The sequence below is a fragment of the Homo sapiens genome, chromosome 11 (genome assembly GCF_000001405.40).
Source record: "Homo sapiens chromosome 11, GRCh38.p14 Primary Assembly".
NCBI lineage: Eukaryota > Metazoa > Chordata > Mammalia > Primates > Hominidae > Homo > Homo sapiens.
Window position 1 is genome coordinate 15,072,781 of NC_000011.10, and position 9,220 is coordinate 15,082,000.

General features: G+C 46.1%; 1 protein-coding gene across 1 annotated transcript, besides 2 other annotated features; it reads left to right on the top strand.

The window, feature by feature from the left end:
* The first annotated feature begins 812 nt into the window (after positions 1–812).
* On the top strand, positions 813–5,857 carry CALCB (calcitonin related polypeptide beta). Its single transcript, NM_000728.4, has 5 exons — positions 813–883; positions 1,930–2,024; positions 2,281–2,418; positions 4,506–4,690; positions 5,303–5,857. The coding sequence occupies exons 2-4, from the start codon at positions 1,939–1,941 to the stop codon at positions 4,663–4,665; spliced, it is 384 nt and encodes a 127-aa protein (NP_000719.1). The 5' UTR covers positions 813–883; positions 1,930–1,938; the 3' UTR covers positions 4,666–4,690; positions 5,303–5,857.
* Positions 1,715–2,216: an enhancer, noted in NCBI's record as "H3K4me1 hESC enhancer chr11:15096041-15096542 (GRCh37/hg19 assembly coordinates)". NCBI's record gives its function as "activates a minimal SCP1, AML or CMV promoter by ChIP-STARR-seq in naive H9 embryonic stem cells {active_cell/tissue: H9 hESC(naive)}" and the evidence as "EXISTENCE:reporter gene assay evidence [ECO:0000049][PMID:30033119]".
* Positions 2,259–2,308: a silencer, noted in NCBI's record as "silent region_3176". NCBI's record gives its function as "represses an Ori minimal core promoter by ATAC-STARR-seq in GM12878 lymphoblastoid cells {active_cell/tissue: GM12878}" and the evidence as "EXISTENCE:reporter gene assay evidence [ECO:0000049][PMID:35858748]".
* Positions 5,858–9,220: the final 3,363 nt, after the last annotated feature.

Sequence of the window (9,220 nt, forward strand, 5' to 3'; positions counted from 1 at the left end):
GCCAACTTCGGCGCAGCAGTGGAGGGTCCTGGCTTGGCGTGGGGGATGCTGGACCCGCGGTCGAGGATTTGGGGATATAGGGGAAGAGGGAGGAGGTGGATGCTGAGCCTTGTATGCAGGCTATGTCAGTTTAGCCCTCTCCCCAACCTCTCTTCGGCTCCTGCCCGTCCCAGAGGAGTGAGGTGGAGAAGGGCTGGCTGCCAGACTGGCACCAAAACAGCCTTCTTTGGGTGCCCAGGTTGCCAGGGCTCGAGGGGTCGGAGGATATCCAGGGAAGCACCCCAGGTGGTCCAAAAAGATCAAATTTTGAGGACCCCTCCCTCCCCTTTTCCCTCCCCCCCCCTCCTTCCCTGCCGTGGGCTCTTTCAGCTGTGGTCCCTTTAGAACCCAGGACTACTACTGCTCAACCTCGCTGGGGGTTCGGGTGGCTGGATTCGGGTCCCTCACTGGCGTGACAGGAGGGAGTGCGAGGCAGGAATTTAGGAGCCAAGGAGGTGAGAGCAGCTCTGGCCCCTCACTGTAGGTGACGCCAAACTCTCCTCGACTTGCCCCGACTCTTAGTTGAAAAATCTCTGTCCTCTCCCAGGCTCTCCAGCTTCCCAAGCAATGACCTCAATGAAAAAAATGACAGCGGGGCGGACTGCCCCCGCTCCAGAGTACCAGTGCCGGCAGTGCGAGCTATGACGCAATCGGAGCTCGGTCGGTCCTTTGATTGGCTAGTCCTGGCCACTTTGGATTGGCCGCGCGGGCTGGTGGGGACCCCCCCCCTCCAGCTATCTCTGTAATAAGAGCGGGGTCTCCGCGGGGAAGGCGCCCACAGCAGGTGTGGTGTTCATCCCGGGTCGACCGGCCGCTCGCGCTGCCCTGAAACTCTAGTCGCCAGGTGAGGAACTTCCCATTCCCCATTCCGCTCACTCGAATAACCTGCTTCTTCGACTAGTTCATCCAGTTTGCTCCATCTGCCTGTCTGCCTCTCCGCCGCCATCTGGTCCTACCTTACAGCGGTGGTCCTAGCTCTCTTCCAGGCCCCGTAGAAGGCGAGCGGTTAGGGTTGTCCTGGCAGTTTCTCCTACCAGTGCGAGAGGAGCCCAAGCATCCCCATGGCTCAGCGTGGGCGCTGGAAGCGCAGCGAGCGGAGGTAGGCGGGTCTGCAGCCCTGGCGTTGGGGCCTGGCTGAGCGCAGGATTCTGCAGAGTTGGGTCCGGGAGCGCCCTGCGCCGTCTTTGTCCTTCGGGAGCATGTTTCGTTCCCGGGAGGTCGGAACCCTGAGCTTTCCTCTGAGGCGCCTCCCTGGTGAGCCTTCCCGGGATTCCGGTCCGGATCTAAGGCAGTGTTGTTAGCGGACTAGAACCCTGGGCGCTCACCTCGCGGAGCTGCTGCTCAGCATCTGCTGCTAAAACGCGCTCCGGCAGAGGGCTGGCTTTGCGGGCGAGTCCTGAGACACCCGTAACTGGCACGTTAAAAATTTTTCCCAGTTCCAAGACTGAGAAATGAGCGCTCCTTTCCAATCCACCCTTCCCACCTTCCCCTCGCATGCGTTGGCGCGAAGCCCAGCAGAGGAGAAGGCGAGAAGGGGAGAGCAGGTCTACAGCAAGGTGCGTCCACGCCTGGTTTAGGCATAAATCAGGGCAGAAGTGTCTGTTTGTGTGCACGGGCGCGTGTGGCTTCTCCCTGGCCTTCAACAAAACAGAACCAAAATTCATCCTTTCTCTCCACCCTTCCCCTAGGACACCTTTTTCCGCTCTATCAAGCCATTCACTCACTGCAATGTGTCTCTTGAGATTCACAGCAGCCCTTCCTGCAAATGAAGGGAACAGAGGCTCAGGCAGCTGAAGTAACGTGCCTAAGGTCACATGGCAGTTGTGGCAGAGGCAGGACTGGAACCTAGATCTGTGCTGGTGCAGTAGTAACGTCATCCTTCCTTTACAGAGAGGCGGCATGGGTTTCCGGAAGTTCTCCCCCTTCCTGGCTCTCAGTATCTTGGTCCTGTACCAGGCGGGCAGCCTCCAGGCGGCGCCATTCAGGTGAGACAGCCTGGAGCCAGAGGCGCCTTCTGCTCCCACTGCCCCTAGGACCAGACAGCTCTGTGCCTCTGAAGTCACGCGTGGCTCCTGGTGAATCAGTGCCCACAGGTGGACCCTGGCCTCATGCCCGTCCCCTGGGAGTCGCGGTGGCCACATCCCCAGGGGAAGAAGCAGAGACCAGGAAGCCTGGCTGCCTATCCTGGGGAGGGTCAGTCAGGGGCTCACAGCCTGCAAGGAGTTTGCTTCCCTTCCACAGGTCTGCCCTGGAGAGCAGCCCAGACCCGGCCACACTCAGTAAAGAGGACGCGCGCCTCCTGCTGGCTGCACTGGTGCAGGACTATGTGCAGATGAAGGCCAGTGAGCTGAAGCAGGAGCAGGAGACACAGGGCTCCAGGTGAGGTTCCCCAAGCGCCCAGCACAGGGACTCCTCTCCCCGCAGCATACACAGGAAGGTGGATCCCAAGAGGCAGGAGAGAACACACTGGCAAGGGGTCCAGCAAGCTGATTTGTCCAGCAGGCTCCCTTTCTCAAGTTCCAAGGGAGACAGAGGTCCCAGTGCACCTGGAGGGACTGTGTGTGGTTAGACACAATAAAAAGCTCCGTTTCTGAAAGCTGTTAGAACATAGATGTAGAAGCTTTTTCTAGACATAGAAAAAACTCAATTTGTGAAAACTGATAGAAAATGAAATGGGGAGGTGTGGAATCGTTCACTGTGGAAATTGCTCTTGCAGTACTGGGAGATCTCCTAGCATTGGATGAGTTAAGACTGGTAAGGGTGAAGTCAGGAATAGACCCAATATCTCAGAAAGTTTTAGAAATTTCACATGTGCATGCCATTCTTTCATACCTGCAAGAAGCCTTCATTTCACATTTGCAAGGTGAAGATGAAGCCCTTGCAGGGGGTGGGGACAGAGCAGTGTCTGAGGTAGGTTTGAGCCTTTAGATGTGCAAGCTCTGTGGAGATGTGCATGTTGTCATGAGGCCAGGGAGAGCACCGTTTCCCAGACCCACATCCTTGTGCATGTTGAGCCTGAGCAGAGACCAACCCCTGGCCTGCTCCCAGCACTGCTGGGCAGAGGCATGTGTCACACCTACATTCACCCCGAGAACCTCTCTGTTGAGCATGAAGGGCTGAACATCATGGGAATACCAGAAAAGATCATCCTTCCTCATTCAGCCCTTCTCTACACTGCCCTGGCCCACTGACCCTCTCACCTCTCCTAATGGAGTGTGTGTGAGCTGCCCTCCTGCCTGCCCCACCTGCTCCCACTCGACATGTCCCCTGCCTGGTCCAACCTTCTGAGTGACTGCCCATGGGGACAGTCCCTAGTGCATGGTACTGTCTGGCATGTCCTTCCCTTGCAGCTTGAGCAGTCCTAGATTTAAGTAGCGTATAGTAATCTGAGTACCTGCTTGCAGGGCACATACTTGCAGTACCTGAAAAACTTTCATATGTTCCCTGGCATCAACTTCGGGCCTGAAATTCCTGGCAAGAATAGGGACATAGTCAACAGCTTGCAGAGGGACCACTACCCGACTCCAGGGTCCCCCAGATGGCAGCTGAACTTCTCTCAACTCTCCTGATTCCCCTTCTTGCTCCACTTTATGAACCTGATGCATGTGGATTCCTCTCTGATTTGTCTTCATGCTGGTATTGGTATTTTTGCTTATGACAGAGAATGTTTTGAAGACCTCAGGATGGAAGGGAAGACAGCAGGACTTACTGAACACATTAGAGATAAAAGAAAATAAGGGAAGCTTCTTGAGACTGTAGAGGGTGTTATGACAGAGGCATCCAATTTCTGCTTCTAAATGTACTACGATAAAATAAGCACGTCCTTAATGCCTTGGCATTAGATGAATCAATCTATTTTTCTAAAAGGAACTGAGCTGCGGTGCTCATTGCTCTGGTCCACATCCAGACTTGAGGGTGTCCAGTGCCTATGCTCAGAAGTAGCCTTAGCTTCAGGGTAGCTGGGTATGGGGCTTGGTGGGTCATCACTATGACCCAGCTCAAGCAGCAAGAACAGTGTGTGAAGGAGCTGGTAAGTACTTCTGGGAGAGGATGCTGCAAACCCTGTTCTCTGAGCTTCTTCTGAAGACTTTAGGGAATTTCATTTTCCTGTGGTAATGGGTAGTGTTGGTGCTTGTGGCTGGGGTATGGTCTCTGTATACTCCTCGTGTATCTTGGGGTGGGTCTGGGCCTCGTTGCCCACTTCCTCCTTGAATGGTAAGTGCAGGGTTTCAGCCTGTGCCCCGTGGCTTGGAATTGTTTTTTCTTCTTTCTTTTCATGATGGTCTTTGGGCAGAGCTCCTGGTGAAGACTGCCAGGCCATTTCCCCTAACAGCTTTGATAATTGCATTTTCGAGAAACACTTACTGTTAGGTGGTGTGTCGAAGTGTTGCAGTTCTCTTCATGAAGGCTCCTCCCCCAGCTTTTCACTCACAGGTCTTCTCTTCTTTCTCTATCTTGCAAATCAGCTCCGCTGCCCAGAAGAGAGCCTGCAACACTGCCACCTGTGTGACTCATCGGCTGGCAGGCTTGCTGAGCAGATCAGGGGGCATGGTGAAGAGCAACTTCGTGCCCACCAATGTGGGTTCCAAAGCCTTTGGCAGGCGCCGCAGGGACCTTCAAGCCTGAGCAGATGAATGACTCCAGGAAGAAGGTAACTACCCTAATGCTATGGGATAAGAGGGGGAAGGGACTTGGAGTTAAAACCTACATTTTGAAAACCTCTGCTCTGGTAGGTTCTTTAGGTTCCTTCTGTCCAGTTACATTGTTCCTCCTGAGGCAGTGAGTTCTTTCTAGAACCTAGCATGATGTCAGAATGACATCAGAGATGTAGTGTCATTTTTCTGATAAGGGAAATGGAAAGAAAATAAAAAGCTTGCTGGATTCAGAAAGGGAGAGGTCTGCAAACCTTAACCAGGGCCAGTCTTCATTCATTAGGCTGGTTTCAGAAAGGGCTCAACCCTTGACTACAGATTCAGGTGGATAAGCTGTAATCATAACCTACTACCAAGATTAATAGATGCAGTTGAATTATTTTAGTCTTCATTTGCCTTACAAGCCTGCTTACCTCTCATAACCATAATTCATAAATGCTGTTTAAAGAAACACTTCTGTAAATTAGTATTTTTTCAGTAATAATTGTGATTATTCATGACTTGTCTTCTACTTCTTTTTTTCTCTTCCTTCTCCTTTTCATCTTCTTCCTTTTTCTCTCCTTTGTCCTCCCCTTCTTCTCCCTCCTCTTCTTTTTTTCCCCTAATCTCAGGTTATCATGAAACTGAACTCACCATTTCTATTAATTTCTGTTGGTAAGAACTTGGTGAGAATGCCCCGTGGAAGATACACATGTTTGCATCCTAAGATACTGAAAAAAGGGCACCTTTGTCACTTGAAAGGAATGAAACTGAATGCAAAATAAGCTAATTCCATATTTGCTGTGCATCATTTTTATATTTAATTCTATGTCCAGTAAAAGTGATGGCATCTCTCATTGACTTATCTGGTAGCAAACTGGTTCTTTCGGAGCCATCCTGTTGATCATGCAGCTCCACCAAACCTTAGGGGGACGTGAAATCACTGCCTGTTGTGGTCTCCGAGGACACATGGTAATGGTGATGCTGTGCCTTGTTATCTAAGAACATGATTGTATAATTTGTTTAAGAAAATGTCAATATTGTGCCATTTGTGAACTTCATCAAGATTAAAAGCATATTTTGGGTACATTTGTTTCAAAACCTTGGTGATGCATTACAACTTGTTTTCTTATGTAATAATAATGATGATGATGATGATAATAATAAATATTTTTGAGTGCTTACTATGTATGGGCCAGATATTATTTTAAAACAGTGCTTTACACCTGTGAATTCATTTAATCTTCATGACAAAACCATGAAGTAGATGCTATTATTCATGTCCCTTCACCTCTGAGGAAACAGAGGCAGGGAGAAGTCCAAGGTCACACACAGATAGATAGAGGTAGACCCAGGTATTGGGTTCCAGGGCTTACAGTGGAAATCACTGCACTATAGGCCTTTCTACAGTGGCTCCTGATGTTTTTCAGAGACTTGTGAGCCATTCTTTGGCCTAGCTGCCTGATAAGGTAGACCCTCAGATTTTGGAGATGCATAACAAATTTTAAACATAAAAACAACCTAGTCTTTACAGAATATAATGAATTTTTTGTACCCATTTCTTGGCCTCAAAAATGATCAGTTGCCACTGTTGTTATGTCTGTATATCATCTATATCCCTTCCTCCAGTGTATTATCATGTCAATATATCCATAAGTAAATATTTCATCACGTATTTCCAAATGGGAAGGGCTTTTAAAATATAATCACAATTTCATTTAACAACTAAAATAAATTTACAATAATTTTAAAATTCTTTAATATTACACATCAGCCATGGTTCAAATTCTCTATGTATCATGTAATATAAATGATAAGATGGAGAATTTACATATATTTATATATATGTGAAACCAGGGCTCAAATTGAATCTTCACATTGCTGCTGGTTAATAATAAGTTTTAATTTAAGGCTCTTACAAATTAGAGGTTCCTCCCTCATCTATTTTCCCCCTTGCTGTTTATTTGTTGGAGAGACTAAGTTATTTATCCAATAAAGAGTTCTACATTCTGCATCCCTGTGGTGAGGTTTAACAGTTAAGTCCTGTGAATCAGCAATCGGATCTAGAGTGAGTGATTGGGAAAAGAAATAGGGGATGAGGCCAGAGAGTAGATGAAGGCGAAGACAGATCGTGTAGTACTTTGTAGGGCATAGGAAACACTGGCTTTTTATTAGTCAATCTCTAGTCAGGAAAACAGGAACTACCTGAGTAATTTTAACAGAAATAATTTTAAAAAGGAGTTGGCTAAATCAGTATTAGTGTAGTGACAAAGCGAAAGAAAAGGGTAGTTCAGAGATAGAAACCATAGGAAGAGGCCACCATCCTCGGGGCTATGGGAATAAAGAGAAGAAGGGAGGTAAGTAGGATCTAGAGCCTGCAGGAGGATTCTCAGACCACAAAGATGGGAAGCTGGCAGATGCTGGTATCTCTGAGGGGGTATCTCTTGTATCTCTGAGGCTATTCTAGAAGTAGGGAAAAACAAAACAAAAGTTAAAACTGGAAACAACCTCACTGACAGGGTAGAGCATCTCTGTGGGTGATGCCAGCAGAAATAGAAGTCGAAATTGGAAGGAACCTGTTTCTTTTTATTCCAGATGCCTCTTGTCTCCTCTTAGGACCTTCAATTAGCAGAGCCTAAAGGGGGTTCAGCTGACAGAGGAAAAGTTGGTTTGCAAAGTCCCAGCCCTAGTATTTCATAGTAAACATGTGATTTTAAATTTACATATAGAGAAGTTCATTTTTTGTGATATACCATTCTATGAGTTTGAAAAATACATTGTCATCCAATTACCATCACCATGGAGATATAAAGCAGTTCTATTCCTTCCCCAAATTCTTCCATGTTTCCCCTTTGCAGTCAATCACTCCTTCCACCCTCAGCCTCTGATCATGACTGTTCTGTTTTCTGTCCCTATAGTTTTGCCTTCCCGAGAATGTCATATGCATGTAGCTTTTTGGTCTATCTTTTACTCAGCAAAAGGCATTTGAGATTGATCCATGTCATTGGATATATCAATTACTTCCTTCTTTTTATTACTGTGTAGTATTACATTCTTGCATTGTGCCACAGTTGATTTATCAATTTACCCAAAGAAGGACACTTGGGTTGTTTCTCATTTGGAATTTATGAATGGAGGTGCTATAAACACTCATGGATAGATTTTTGTGTGAAGATGAGTGTAATGGGCTGAATAGGGCACCCAAAAGGTGTCCATGTCCTAATCACTGGAACCTATGTTTTTACCTTACTTGGAAAAAGGGTCTTTGCTAATGTAATTAAGAATCTTAAAATGAGATCATCCTGAATTATCCAGGTGTGTCCTAAATCCAATGACATATCCTTATAAGAGATTCACTCAGAAGACACATGTGGAGAAGGTGACATGACAGAGGCAAGGAGGCACAAGCCAAGGAAGTCTGTGTCTACCAGAAGCCAGAATCACAGAACAGTCTCTGGAAGAAGAGCAGCCCTGCTGACACCTAGAGTTTGGACTTCCAGCTTCCAGAACTGTGAGAGAATAATTTCTGTTGTTTTAAGCCACAAAGTTTGTGGTAATTTGTTATGACAGCCCTAGGAAACTAATACAATACATTTTCATTTATTTTGGGTAAATGCCTTGGAGTGGGATTGCTGGGTTATTTGGAAAGTGTGTATTTAACTCTGTAAGAAACTGCCAAACTATTTTCTGAAGTGACTGTACCACTTCGCCTTCTTGCCAGCCACATATGAGAGCTCTAGTATTTCCACAAATAGGTATGTAGCAGTATCTCATTGCTGTTTTAATTTGTATTTCCCCAATGACTAATGACGTTGAGCATCTATTTTACCATATGTTTATCACCTTTATTGAAGGGTCTGTTTAAATCTTCTGCTAAATTTTTGTTGGCTTGCTTGCTTTATTAGTGTTGAGTTTTTAGAGCTCTTTATATGTTGTGGATGCAAGATTGTTTTCAGATATATAGTTTGGAAACTTCCTTCCCCTGAATCTGCGGATTGCTTTTTCATTTTCTTAGCAGTGTCTCTCACAGAGAAAAAGTTGTAATTTGAATAAGATCCAATTCATCTTTTTTTTTCTTTTATGTATTGTGCTTTTAGTTCATGTCTAAGAACTCTTTGCCTAACTAAGGTCCCAAGGTCACAATAACCTTATTCTATACTTTCTTGTAAAAGTTTTATAGTTTTATATTTTATATGTAGATTAGTGATCTATTTTGAGTTAATTTTTGTATAAGGTGAGAGGTGTAGGTTGAAATTCATACCTGTGAATATAGATACCCAATTGTTTCAGTGCCATTTGTTAAAAAGACTGTTATTTCACCATTTAATTGCCCCTGCACCTTTGTCAAAAAGCAACTGATCATATTTGTGTGGGTATATTTCTGGGTTCTCAATTCTGTCTCATTGATTGATTTGACCATTCTTTTGCCAATGTCATACTGCCTTGATTAGTGTAGTGTTAAAGTGAATCTCAAAACCAGGTAATGTGGGTCTACCAACATTGTTCATTCTTGTTCAAAAAGATTTTAGCTACATCTAAAATATTTTCTA